Genomic DNA, 14540 nt, shown 5'->3' with positions numbered 1-14540 from the left:
AAGGATTTCTGACTCTTAGGTTTAACCCTGAATTTGAAATAAAGCAGCCGTTTTCTCCCTGACCACAAGATTTTTTTTGGTAAATATTATGACTTTCCTTTATTCCTTCCTCATGGTTAATTTTCTCTCTTAATTACTGTTGATTATTTATTTTCCTCCACATTTTTTCCTCTCCCTCTCCCTCTCCCTCTATCTCTCTTCCTCCCTCTTTCCTTCTTTTCCTCTCTCTTTTCCTTCCTTCTCTCCCTCCCATCCTCTTACCTTTTTCTTCTCTGTCACCCAGGCTGGAGTGCAGCGGCACAATCTCTGCTCACTGCAACCTCTGCCTCCTGGTTCAAGCAATTCTCGTGCCTCAGCCTCATGAGTAGCTGGGATTACAGGCATGCGCCACCATGCCCGGCTAATTTTTGTATGTTTAGTGGAGACGGGGTTTCACCATGTTGGCCAGGCTGGTCTCAAACTCCTGACCTCAGGTGATCTGCCCACCTAGGCCTCCCAAGTGCTGGGATTACAGACGTGAGCCACTGTGCCCAGCCCCATCCTCTCTTACCTTAGTTTCTGATTTCTTTCTCATAGCTTCTGCTTTAGCCACCTTTCTTCCCATGCCTCTGAGATCCAGGACATACACCAGTAGTCTCTGACCCAGTTTTGGGAAACAGCATCTGAAAGTATTCATTTTGATTGTTTTTATAACCAGTTACTTTTTTTCAGGCAGCGAGGAAGGAATACATAGAGGGGGAAAGGTCAGTGTTGATACTAATAGGGTGACCACAATTAATCCTAGCCACTTCATGAACACACAAGGCCTTTGGCCAACTGCGGCCAAGCATTGCTGTATGTATTTGGCAGGTTATTTGGCAGGAAAAGTTACTCAAAACTAAAATCTTTTCAAGTGTATTTTTACCATGTTATTTATTATTATTATGTAAAAGATCACTTTTAGTGTATTTGCACTAATTATTGTATAAAAGCATTAAAGTAGCCTCTGATTTTTTTCAAGTAAAAATGTAAGAAAACTAGATTTTTTTTCTCCTAAGTGAGAAACAAAAAACATGCTATGTGACTCCCCACAAAAGCCCTGTAGGTTTAATTTAATTTAGCAATTCCCTCTCTACTTTTCTACCAGGTTCCTGTTACCAATGCAATTATTTCGTGGCCTTTTGCCTGAATTATTCTAAGCTGCTTCTCCAGAGGAAATGAGTCAGAAGAAATAGGCTTGATGTGCATTTCTGCCTTTGGAGACTTCTCTTGATATGGTGTAAATCCGTAAGGTTTCATTAATGCCTTGTCTGCATATTTTTTCAATCTGCTTTTGATAACAAGGTCTGTTTCTAGGGTACTTCAAATTTAAAACCGTAGGGTATGTGTAAAATATCACCACTAGAAAATGGAGAGATGCAAATGGGTTCCCCCTTCTGTAGTCCCTCCTAATGTCAGAATCTGGGGTTAGGGTTCTAAGTGATGGTAGCACTCAGGAGAGGGTCACAAGAGGCAATGACATGGGACTGCATCCTGAAAGATGACTGCTTAGACGTGCGGCGAGAATGGCCGGAAAACGGAGGATGGCGCTTGACATTGATCTAGGAAAGGAAGACAGTCATTGGGACTTTTGCTAACTTTGTCCCTAGAGAGTGAATTCTGCTTTTGCTGGTCCTAAAAACTGTAGAGTAATTCTACAATCCAGTTAAATTTGTAAATCTAATGCCTGATTCAGTCTGAGATTTATGACTCAGCCGGTTGATCCAGCTTAGGTCTAGACTCATTTCACTTTTGTTATGACAAGATACGACAATGTAGGGCACACCCTTTACCCCCCAGGGTCATCCTGATGTCAGTCATTTCAGGCTAGGCCAGTGTCAGAGCAGTCCCTGAAGCAGAAGTGGATGGAAAGAGGTGAATGATTTCTAATATTCAACATTCATTAATTTAACATCAACTATGTTAAGGGTAATGATATAGCAGTTAACCAAGACCAACATGGTGTCTGCTTGGTTGATGCTTGAAATAAGGTGACCTGGCCCCAGCCACCCGGGTGGCCAGGAGCTGAAAGGGCTGTAACAAGTAGGCAGTGAATAGTCTTCAAACTTGTTACTTGCATACCTCCCTACAAATTTTGGAAAAACCATGAGACTCTGATTGATTTTTTAAAAGAATATCTAAAATCATTATGTTTAAATAGCCTCAAAAGAAGCATTTTATTATGTATTGTAAATATTGGCATTTTAAAATGTTATTCGGTCTTTTAAATGTATCCAGTGAAATGTTGGTACAATAGAGTTTTGATAGCTACCATTTTCCATTTTTAAAAATACTTTAACACGCTTTGTAACAGTTGGAAATATTGTTTGATTCCTTTTGCTCCCTGAACTCCATTCTTCTTCTTCTGAAGAATTTTATCCTAAAATGAATTTATTTTTTGCTTAACAGTCTTATTGGTTACCTTATTAAATATTACTCAGTATATTATAGATGTAAGTGTTTTTTGTGTTACCATAGGCTCTAAGAGTTTAATGACCAAATGACATTTTAATAAATATTAAACTTAAAAAATTACATTTGGCTGGGTGCGGTGGCTCACGCCTGTAATCCCAGCACTTTGAGAGGCCGAGGTGGTGGATCACTTGAGGTCAGGAGTTCAAGACCAGCCTGGCCAACATGGTAAAACCGGTCTCTACTAAAAATACAAAAAATTACCCGGGCATGGTGGTGGGCGCATGTAATCCCAGCTACTCGAGAGGCTAAGGAAGGAGAATCGCTTGAACCTGGGAGGCAGAGGTTGCAGTGAGATGAGATCACACTCCTGCACTCCAGCCTGGGTGACAGAGCGAGACTCTGTCTCAAAAGACAAAAAAAAAAAAAGTTATATTTAATTTGAAATACATTGAAATTTGAATAGGTATAATATTACAGTGATTTGGTTAAAGAAATTGTCTAAATGTTCTTTTGTTTGTTGGACAGATATTTTTACACCCTATGATAATAATACCCCATGTTAAAAACTGGGAAGGATTTGCAATTTTACCGTATTTGCTAGCTAACAACTTTCCCTGACATAGTTTCACAGATGTGGACAGAAGACACAAGACAGTTATTCTAGTAATAGCAGGGGCTGGATAACATCATTTTTGCATTTTTGATTTCTTAAGCTTCAGTTCTATCAGGGCCAATGTGGATGGGCCCAGATGGATGCCTGCTCACATGCATGTGAGAATTCTGATCTTTGGAAACCCAATTTTTTTTTTTTTTGAGACAGAGTCTCACTCTGTCGCCCAGGCTGGAGTGCAGTGGCGTGATCTCGGCTCACTGCAAGCTCCGCCTCCCGGGTTCATGCCATTCTCCTGCCTCAGCCTCACGAGTAGCTGGGACTACAGGTGCCTGCCACCATGCTCGGCTAATTTTTTTGTATTTTTAGTAGAGACGGGGTTTCACCGTGTTAGCCAGGATGGTCTTGATATCCTGACCTCGTGATCCGCCCGCCTCGGCCTCCCAAAGTGCTAGAATTACAGGTGTGAGCCACCGTGCCCGTCCCCCAATCTTTTATAATGGTTTGTAAGCATGCCTTCCCTTTGCTCCAGAGGGAGACATTCCTATTCCAGCCAGTAAGTGTGTTGGTTTCCTAGAGCTCCCATAACAAAATACCAAAAATTGGATGGTTTAAAGCAACAGAAATGTATTGTCTCTCAGTTCTGCAGGCTAGAAGTCTGACATGGTGATGGCAGAGCCATCTTCCCACTGAAACCTGTAGAGATAGTGCAGAACTAAGGGCAGTTGATGCCTTACTCTCAAGACCTGCAGAACATGAAAAAACCCATGGAAAATGGTCTCCTAATACGCTATGGTAAACGTATGGGTGAGAGGTAAGTTTATTTTTTGGTAAGAGAAAGGCAGTTATTAAAGGAGAAGGTAGAAAAAGCTTAGTTTACTAAAAGCACTTTCACAGGTTCTTAGGAGAGAGTTCATATGGAAGTTGAGGAATCTGAAATTGATTTCCTAAAAATTGATTTTCTTAAAATGATCTCTATTCTCATATCTTTTGAATAATATTTCCATATCTCAGTAGAATCCCAGCTTGAAGGGACATGAGGTACATCTGAACTGCTGTTCTCTGGGAATCACCACATACAGTACAGCTTTGAGATATTGATGCCATAATGCCCCCTTCTATTTTCCTGAACTTTCCAAGAAGTTTTTGCTAAAAGTTGTGGATGGGCTGAGCAATGTGATCAAAGAATTAAAAGAGGGTTTTCTGCCTTCTTTTAGGGGAGGGCAGCAGTAGCAGGAGGAAGGTTGAGTCCAGGAATTGCCAAAGGTGGTATGCCACAGAGCCCCTGTCAGCCTGTGTACAGGGAATGTGGTCAGGAGGCAGATGAGTGGCGGAGGCAGCAGACAACTGGATTGGAGTCCTGATTTCCAGAAATAGTAAGCAGAGGAATTTGTCAAGAGCCTGGAATTCCTGTAATTAAGCAGAATGGGGAGTTGACATTTTCCTAATGGATATTAGCAAATAAATGTGACCTCATTTTAAGCTCCCATTGGCCAAGGCCTGGACATTCCAGTTAAAGTTTTTGACCAAATTATATACGGCTAAGTTGATGTGGAATCATTCAGTTCCACAGTAAACCATTTATACAGACAAAGTGACTTATTTGCATATTTTTTCCTACTATGTTTTTTAATAACAAGGCCAGTTTTTGTGAATGTAACTATCTAGTCTAGCAAGTATAGTTGTCCTTGGAAAGCTTGAGAAAGTGCTTCTTATAGTATTTATTAAATGTCATTTTTAGTTTGAAAACCAACACAGATCTCCAGGAGCAATAATGTTTTATGTTATTAAAGTTGAGCCCCTATAGTCTTGCTTGATTTTAAAAGGATGGATGAATGACATTGAGGAGAGGAAGATAAGTTTTTTGTCTCTGTCCTCAGGGAATTAACTTCCAAGGAAGGGGGACCACCAGCACCTGAAGAGATATCTAGCTTTAAAAAAAAATCGTATAGATTTATCAAACTTTACAGGTGGGAATTGTAACAATATTGAAAAAATGTCAACTACTTAACAGCTGGTAAGAAAATTCTTAGGGAAAGTATTAAATGTTTAGAGAAAATACTTTGAGGAGATACTTGGAGTAGGATTGGCCTTATTACCTGCAAGGCTTTCATTTTTCCTTCCCTGGAGAAAGAATATGGTTCAGGGGGAAGAGATGGCTGGGTGTGATAGAGAGAGGAGCCAAGAGGCTCAACTCAGCCTAGTAGAATTAAATAGACCCTTAGATGCACTACAGCAAAGCAGGTGGAGAATGCATAGGGGGAGGTCTCTCAGGGTGTCAGTTGTGAGGTTACAATGTAAACCTCTCCTCTCTCCTCTTTGAAACCTTCAATAACTCCTTGAGCGAATTTTTTTTTTTTGAGGGGTCCTGACCGCAAAGGAGGGAGGAGGGACAATTGACATCTAAGGGCACTATATTCTTTCTTCCTCCTTCTGTTCCTTAAGTTATAGGAGGAAAGGATTAGCAACCTCTCCTTTCATTAATCAACAAAAAAGTCTTTAATTGTATTACGTGCTGCGGGCTTGCTGATGCATAAGATGGTGGTTGTGACTTACGTTTATCACCCATATGTATTGATTTTATAGGAAGGTGATATTGGACGGAAAGGCCAAACATGATCAGTCTTCTAAATTTTAATGTGAACGTGAGTGAAAGATAAGGTGCTTTGCTGGATTAAAAAGCAAAAAGGAAAAGAAGGGAAAAGCATATGAATGAGGAGAATTAAGTGCAACTCTCTTTTCCTTTTAGCTCTTAGTTTGTGCCAGTATGATGAGGTGGAAGGTAGATGTGGGGTTAGACAGTTCATAAAGAGGAAAGGAAGAAAAGTAATAAAAACAAAAAACCAGGGAAGGAGGAAGTGAACACAAGAAGAGTGAAGAGAGGCCAGGCATGGCTCATGCCTGTAATCCCAGCACTTTGGAAGGCTGAGGGTGGCAGATCACTTCAGCCCAGGAGTTTGAGACCAGTCTGGACAACACGGTGAGACCCCATCTCTACAAAAAATACAAGAAAAAAAATTTTGCTGGGTGTGGTGGCATGTGCCTGTAAGTTCCAGCTAGTCAGGAGGCTGAGGTGGGAGGATCACCTAAGCCTGGTAGATGGAGGCTGCTATGAGCCAAGATCATGCCACTCCAGCCTGAGTGACAGAGTGAGTACTGTCACACACACACGAAAGAATAGTGAAAAGAGTTACTATGGCATTCGGAAATAAAGAATCTTTGCTGTTCTGGTCAGTGCCATGGGCTTATGAAGTAAGTGTACAAGACCCTTTCATTGTAGTTCAATAAGAGCAACAAAGTCCTCACTTGGGGAACCTGGTCCTTGCTTCCTGCCTCCATGGGGTATGTGAGAACCCATTCAATTCTAACTCTCAGCTATTCAGCCAGAATCCCCGGCACTATGTTTATTAAGCTTACCAGGATAACCACTTTCTACACACAGCCTAGCAAAGAGAATTACTTTTAACGAAACAACAACAACAATAACAATTTTCAATGCTGTTATATCCCTATTCCATTCTGTGGGCACAAACCTCTGCTTATTCATAATCACTTCATATACAACACATTAAAAGCATCTTTTGTCTTAATTATGTGGGGCTAACATTTAGGGAGCATTCACCATAAACTCTGTTAGTCAGTGCTGAAGCTTCCTAGTAACATTGTTGACATTTGGTCTTGCCTTACTTTTTTTTTGGAGCTGGTAGGTTTCTGTTAAAAAAAACTTTTTTTTTTTGACCTCTTGGGGACTGAACTGTCTAGAGAGGCTCTGGATAAAAAAAGCAGCCTAATTGCAAAATCTTTCCTTTGGCAGTGAAAAGATTGGGAATGAGAGTCAGTGAGCACCAGCCAGTAGATGGCAACACTAAAGCAAGACACAGCTTCTTGGCTGTGGCTTCTTTTCCATCCTGGGACAACCCGTGCAGCTCAGCTTCTTTGGACAGTGGGAAGTTGAGCAGTATGATGTTTATAAAAATGACAATTTTTACTGTTTAAGGTTGGGGCATTAATGACTGCTCTTGTAGAGACAGGTATTCAGGCAAGAATTGGTTCAAGAAATGAGTCAGAAACTCTTCTGTCATTTCCAGTGAGTTTTAACCAAGACATTCCAAATGCCTTCCTCATCTGGTGACTGTGCAGTGAGCTTCTCCTGACTCAGAACCATCCACGCATGACTGTAACTGCTGCTGCTGCTTTGTTCCTGAGGCATTTTCTGTTTGTTCTGAGACTCATGCTCCCTCCCCAAATTTTCAGACAAGAGGGCTTACCTTGCTTGGAGTGTTTAGAAGGATGAATGGAGAGTATTAACATTTTTGTGAGGGAAAAGGGAGTTTCGTGCTCCTTGAGTTTGTAATGAAAGTACATACCTCTCCCCAAATGTCCATGAACACAAATAAAATTTTCTTTAATAATTTGGGAGGTTCATGGGACTCCCCATGAGTCCATGGGCCCGCAAGATAAAAATCCCTGTTTGGGAAAAGCTCTTGATGAAGTCCAAATAGGCTATTCAGGAGATACAGTAAGTCTTAAAGGTCAGTACTGTCCCAGGCGGATAAATAACTGCTGGATGTTTTCACCCGGATATCCTGTAGGCAACTCAGCACTTTCCTTTGCCAGACTTGCTCCACTTGGCATCCTTAATTCTTTCTTAGTATGACTCTTGTCCCAGTCGCCTTCTCTTCAGACTTTGGAGTCATGTTTGATTCTTCTGTTTTAGTCACTGCTGAATTTTCACAGCACTCTCATATTCGTCCCATTTTCATAGTCAGTTCTTTCTTCACTTTGGGCTATTAGATAAGCCTGGATTAGAAATCTCATCTCCTGCTTGGTCTCTCACCTTCTGTTTCTTTCTATTCCAGGCCTTCCTTCTTACCTTTGCTAGGGAATTCTTTGAAAACCCTGAGCTGGTTGTGTCTCGTTGGCTCTGCCTCTTGCTCCCTCTTTTTAAAAAGTCCTGATTAAGTAGCTCCCCAGAGTCTGCTGGAAGAAGTCCAGTTCTGACAATCAGGTTCAGCCTTTTCTTTTTTCTCTTCCGGCATTTCCTTGCTTTACCTCAGTTTTACGCAAAATGGAATACTTGGCTGGCCATGTATTTTCTTGCCTTTGCTCCGAGTTTTCTTTGTCTGGAATCCTTCTAGACTAGGGGTTCTTCACATTTTTGGTATGATAAAAGATGAGATTTCATTGGCAGCCTGCAAAGCATACACTTTCTCACAATGTTTTTAATGTATAAAATGATACACGAAATTACAAAGAAACCAATTATATTGAAATACAGTTATAAAAATCTTTAAAAATCTGCTATGTTGTATGCATTCTTCTTTATTAATACATTTAATAACATGATATGGCATTGGTCCTAATAATTATCGTGGCAATTTATGGCCTACATCTGTAATGGAAGGAAATGCTAAATTTCAGTTAGACATTAGGGAAAATAAAGATGTATTTTTTTCCTATCCACATTCACAGACCCCAGGCTAAGGATCTTAAATCTAGATTATTGATTCTCCAATAAAGTATGAATCAGAATCACTGGGATGCTAAACAAAGCATGCTAAGCCTCATTTCTGATTCAGCAGGTCAAGGGTAAGACCCTGGCTTTTGTATTTCTAAGTGTTGCTGATGCTGCAGGACCAGGGATTGCAGTTTGAAAACCTCCAATCTGCCAGGCGCAGTGGCACACACCTGTAATCCCAGCACTTTGGGAGGCTGAGGTGGGCAGAACTCCTGAGGTCAGGAGTTCGAGACCAGCCTGCCCAACATGGTGAAACCACTAAAATGCAACTACTAAAAATACAAAAAATTAGCCGGGTGTGGTGGCAGGTGCCTGTAATCCCAGCTACTCGGGAGGCTGAAGCAGGAGAATCATTTGAACCCAGGAGGCAGAGGTTGCAGAGCCGAGATCACACCACTGCACTCCAGCCTGGGTGACAAGAGCAAGACTCCATCTCAAAAAAAAAAAAAAAAAAAAAAAAAAAGAGAAAGAAAACCTCTGATCTAGGATAGATCATCACCTCTTGCCATCTTTACCTGCCAAAACCCTATGCCTCCTAAAAGACCCAGGGAAAGGCCACCTTTTGTATTAAGTTTTCCCCTATATCCCCTATTGGAAGTAATTTCTTCTCCTTCAAGGACCCTGTCCCAATTGTTCATCCCACTCTCATGGCATTTAACTTTCTGCCTTGTTCGCTGGAGTAAGATGTGTCTATTCTCGACTTGGACTTGAGCCTTCTAAACTATTTGTACTACTGGAAATGCTATGATATTTCAGACCTCCATGAAGGAATAAATGTCTTCTCTCACTCATTAGACTGTGAGCTTTTCTAGGGTATGAAACATGTCTTACAATTTGTGGGAGAGAAGAGGGACTAAGGAAGGGAAGAAGGAAAATTTCAATAGAGAACTCCTCATTAGGGAAATTTATCTAGAAGCACAGAAATTAGTCATGAAAGAGAACACCTCATTTATTCACATAATACCCTTCCTGGGTGCTACGGGCTGAAATGTCCTTTATCCAGATTAAAAAACAACAAAGTAGGTTACACAGTGGACCTTCCAGCAAGTTTTCAAAAGATTTCCATTGGCCCATGGTCATCGCACAGTATATGGCCTCATCCAGGTCCCTGGTAAGAATGTTTTATGGGTCAGAGCCCTGGGAGTGCATATGGATTTTCTGCAAAGGCTTTGATGCAGTACTTTGGAGTTATTTTTAAAGACAGGATAAGCCCACTGGGGCCTTTGTATGGCACAGCTTATCTATACCTGATCAGACCTCCTAACTAGTGAATATCAATCGTTTGGAGTCAACCTGGGAGGAGACAGAGAACTAAGTAAGCGTTGAGCTGCAGGATTATGATTTCATCCCTGTACTGTTTCATTCACTTGATTTTTTTCTTCCTTCTCCCCCTTCCCTTTTTTTTTCTTCTCTTCGTCTCTCCCTTTCTTCCCCTTTCTGTCCCTTTTCCCCTCCTTTCCTTTTTTTAATCCAATGACTAGGTTAGCAATTATGCTGAAGGTTGGTCTATAGGGGCCTGTAGGTTTCCTTCCAGATAGAAAATTCTGAGACTCTACAAACAGATCCACAGTAAGGTGTTCTCCCTTGCCAGGTAGCAATTTTATCTGTGGTATTGTTGCTTCCCATACTTTAAATCTTGTTTATCTGACAGAGACTATGCCTTTGTGAAGTGGAAGCATGCTCTGAGATTTCCATTCAGGTCTTCTGTCTCTATCTTGCTGTACTTGTATGAATTGTGTGATCTGAGTTACTCTGTCAAGTTTAGATCGTGAATATAGAGGCAAAAATAGCAATTATTAACAGTGATGATAAACATTTGGATGTAGTGCTTTTCATTTCTAAATGGCTTTGAAGAGACCAAATACATCTGTTAGTATTAGTCATTCTGCCTGTGGGATTCCTTATCTTGGGTCAGAGGGTTTTGCTTGGACTCTGTTCTAGCTGTGTAGAAAGACTCATTTTGGTAGCTATTGAATTTTTCCCCCTATGAGGCATATTCTAAACTTTTAGTCATTTCTCATGGGTTACATATGTTCTCTTGGTGCTAGCTGTGCATGTTTCTATTCTCATACATGCATTTAAAGTGAATTTATCCTGGTACTGTGGCTAGATAAGAAACTACTGTTACTGAATTCTTTCCTAGGAGGGAGAAATGGAATTTTCTCTGGAGGTTCAGAGTAGATCTTCAAATAAAACTCTGATCTTCACAGTGGTACCCTATGGGGTAATTCAGCTGATACGTTGAATGCCTTTTTCCCTAAGGCGGTGGGCTAACAATGGTAGCTACCGTTTCTCCTGGGCTAGTCTAGATGCAAACGTTCAGGTGAAGGTTGTCCCATGCACATACCTCTCTCTCCCTTGTCACTTTCTGGGTTTTCTAGATGGATTTGCATATAGTTCTGTGTGTATGAGTAAGCTGTAAGGAACAGGTACTGGGTCTTTTGTCTTTTTACACTTAGTGTTGGTATGTAAGTGGTGCTCAAAAATTGTTGCGCTGAAATCCTCTTTATTCTAATCTCAAACCAAACCATATCCCCTTTATTATCATCTTCAACCACAAACAAAAACATTGTTTTCCATGTATAGATTCAAACTAAAATCATATTAAATTGATTAGGGAGCACATTTTGACTTAGTACATGGCTTCGAGATCTAAGGATTTATTTTTAATAAATACCGCTGCTTGCATGTGGAGCCCGGCTCCTTCCCCAGGCTCCTCGCATGCGTTCTTCCCTGGCTCTGTTTGGGTCCCAGGAGCAGCCCATGCTGTTCCCTGTGTCTTGCATGCTTTTCTTCACCCTCTATCTTATGTCACCCTTTATCCCTGCATCCCTCAGGCCTCATCTCAGTCATCACTTCCTCGGGCACCCTAGCCCTGTTTCTGCCCAGCCCTGCTCAGTCTCCTTTAGCGAAGGGCTCTTCGGTTCCTTTCCTTCGGAGCCCTGATCACCATTGTAAGTGGTTGACCATTTACTTCTGAGTAACTCCCTTCCTTTCTGTTCTATAAACTTCCTGAGGCCAAGGGCTAAGCCCGTTTCTGCTGACCTTTGCATTTCCAGCCTTTGCACAGTGGCTGGGGCATAACAAACACCAGTGGCCGTGCCAAGGAATGCTCAGGGTTGGAGTACCCCATAATTTCTATCATTCCACACAAAATAGTTCTATTCTTGGATATGAACTATTGCCATTTTCCCACTCTCTTGTAAAATGTGAACGTTAACTCCACAAGGGCAGGCCTTGTCTGTCACTATGTATCTTGAGCATTTAGATGAGTGCTACCTAGCAGGTGCTCTGAAATATTTGTTGAATTGATAAAGGTGTCTTGAGAAATCTTTGTTTTCATTGATCTGTGATATTCAGTTGTATGTGCTCTGCAAACCCAGTTTCAAGGCAGGTGCCTTCCCTCCTTTCTCTAACTCCCCGCCTTCTAACTAGACAGCACTTTCAAGTCCATTGCTTTAGCAACTCTGGCACTGCCTACTGGTAGGTTCTCAACACGTATTTTATGAAAGTCCAGAGCTGCTATTTTTCAAGGAAGTTTCTCAACAGTACACACCTAACAAAAGTGTGGTCCAACTAAGAGGGGGTGGGCTAGGGGTGGAATAGGTTTCCCAAGGTATCTCTGCTTCCAACAGTATGCTACGAGTGATTCATGAATATATATGCAGTTGGCTTTGAGCAAGTACCCAGCAAGATTATCAGCTGAAAAATATGTTTTTATTAAAAAGCTTAACAGCGAGCAGGTACAGTGGTACATGCTTGTAGCCCCAGCTACTCAGGAGGCTGAGGTGGGAGGATTGCTTGAGCTCAGGAGTTCAAGAACAGCCTGGACAGCATAGGGAGGTCCCATCTATAAAATAATAATAATAATCACCACCATCATCCTCAATCATCATCATCATCTCAACAGCTTTTTAAAAGGATAGCGTTTTTTAAAAGCCATTTTTAAATTATAAATACTGGTTTACATGCGCATATAAACAAGAGCACTTCCATATGCATGTATCCCTTCCCCCCATTATTTACTTATTTATTTTTGAGATGGAGTCTTGCTCTGTCACCCAGGCTGGAGTTCAATGGCACAATCTCAGCTCACTGCAACCTCTGCCTCCTGGGTTCAAGTGATTCTCCTGCCTCAGGCTCCCAAGTAGGTGGGATTACAGGCGCCCACCACCACGTCTGGCTAATTTTTGTATTTTTAGTAGAGACAGGATTTCACCATGTTGGCCAGGCTGGTCTCAAACCTCTGACCTCAGATGATCCTCCTGCCTCAGGCTCCCAAAGTGTTGGGACTATGGGCAAGAGTAACTGCACCTGGCCCCCCTCTGTTATTTTACTGGATTGTCACTTCCCACCGTCAAAGTTTCCTTGCAGTTCAACTTGTCAGTGGCCTCATCAAACAAAGAAGGCAGCTTGTTGTCACCAGCAACCAACATCTGGTTTAGATGTGGCTAGCATGCCTAGTTGCTGTAACAGAGGGGATGTCATAATTAAACTGCAAGTCATGGTGAAGGGTATGGCTGTCATACATTACCACACTTCTGGGATAGAAAACAAGGTCTTGAACTTAGCAGGGAGATGCAGGAATACAGTTATTATGCACTTCTTGAAATTGTCTCATTCCAAAAAACATTTGGTTTTAGGGAAACACTTTGGAGAATTAAAACACATTGAAAAGCTAGAAATAGGTCAAAGTGATTGCAAAACAGTCTTTCAGCATTGTGGTGGGGCACCTACTGGCTTTCGTTGGTCACCCAATCAGAGAGCTTGTCTTTAGACTAATGCTATTCAGCTGGTTACCATGGCAATGATGGAGTACTAGTTGTCATGGCAATGAAATGGAAATTTGGGGGACCAATTTCTTTAGAAGAGGTGGATTCATTAAGCCCTTTCTTTCTTTCTTTCCTTAAAACTTGACCATGTCATACAATACTTTTAAAGGGTGTCCATTTTCATACTCTATACATTTTAGGATCTATAAATCTTTTCTTATTCTTGGATCTCATGTCTTAAGTCTTTTCACCTCTGTGATTTGAGTAGACACCCCCACCCCTACACAGTCTTTTGTGGCTCATATTAAAGAATGACACTGCAAAAGCTACGTTTCTTTTCATCCCCCCAAAAGTGTTTCTGCCAAACTCCATTGGATTCCTCCAAAGTTATTTTGGTATGAAATAGAATAGGTCAGAATAATTATATTGGACTAAATGATAAATGAGACTTCTACCAATGCATTGCAATCACCTGTTCCTCACTGAGGTGTTTATCAGAATTGTACTTTAAGGCAGATCCTTTTGAGAAGCACCAGAAGCCTGGCTCTTTTTCCCTCCCTGGGCTGATGGGGGTTTTATTCCTTTTTGCTTAGAGTCCACTCTGTGGGATCATCAATGGGAAATAGATCTTGTTCACTTGTTACGCAGACTTGAGTGACCTTTTTCTTGACTTCTCCCAAGGAATTAATTTAGCTGCTTATTTTGAGATTCTAGAAAAGAATAAGTGGTTATATATATACGTATATATACATATACGTATGTATACATATGTATACGTATGTGTACATATATACGTATATATATAAGTATATATGTATATATGTGTGTATATGTATACACACACACACACATACATATATATATATATTTGTTGTTGTTGTTTGTTTGTTTTGAGATGGAGTTTTGCTCTTGTCACCCAGGCTGGAGTGCAGTGACGCTATCTCGGCTCACTGCAACCTCCGCCTCTCAGGTTCAAGCGATTCTCCTGCCTCAGCCTCCCGAGTAGCTGGGATTACAGGCGCCCATAACCACGCCCAGCTAATTTTCATATTTTTAGTAGAGATGGAGTTTCACTATGTGGGTCATGCTGGTGTCGAACTCCTGGCCTCAGGTGATCCACCTGCCTTGGCCTCCCAAAGTGCTGGGATTACAGGTGTGAGCCACTGTACCCAGCCATAAGTGGTAATATTATCGGGTTGGCTAAATC

The 14540-nt window shown here is 41.3% G+C and overlaps 1 protein-coding gene across 1 annotated transcript in view, besides 1 other annotated feature; it reads left to right on the top strand.

Annotated features, from left to right (window-relative positions):
- KICS2 (KICSTOR subunit 2) overlaps positions 1–2463 on the top strand; it is a 35981-nt gene extending 33518 nt beyond the window's left edge. Inside the window, exon 4 of the mRNA NM_001300940.2 lies at positions 1127–2463. Coding sequence (NP_001287869.2) covers positions 1127–1200 — 74 coding nt within the window. The 3' untranslated portion in view covers positions 1201–2463. The remainder of the gene's footprint in view (positions 1–1126) is intronic.
- Positions 6427–7626: an enhancer, noted in NCBI's record as "P300/CBP strongly-dependent group 1 enhancer chr12:64574933-64576132 (GRCh37/hg19 assembly coordinates)". NCBI's record gives its function as "activates an origin of replication core promoter dependent on BRD2, BRD4, P300/CBP, MED14 and CDK7 cofactors, with strong dependence on P300/CBP, by STARR-seq in HCT116 cells {active_cell/tissue: HCT116}" and the evidence as "EXISTENCE:reporter gene assay evidence [ECO:0000049][PMID:35650434]".

Source organism: Homo sapiens, chromosome 12 (genome assembly GCF_000001405.40).
Source record: "Homo sapiens chromosome 12, GRCh38.p14 Primary Assembly".
Taxonomy (NCBI): domain Eukaryota; kingdom Metazoa; phylum Chordata; class Mammalia; order Primates; family Hominidae; genus Homo; species Homo sapiens.
The sequence above is the reverse complement of the archived record's forward strand: the minus strand, read 5'-3'. Positions and strand labels throughout refer to the sequence as shown.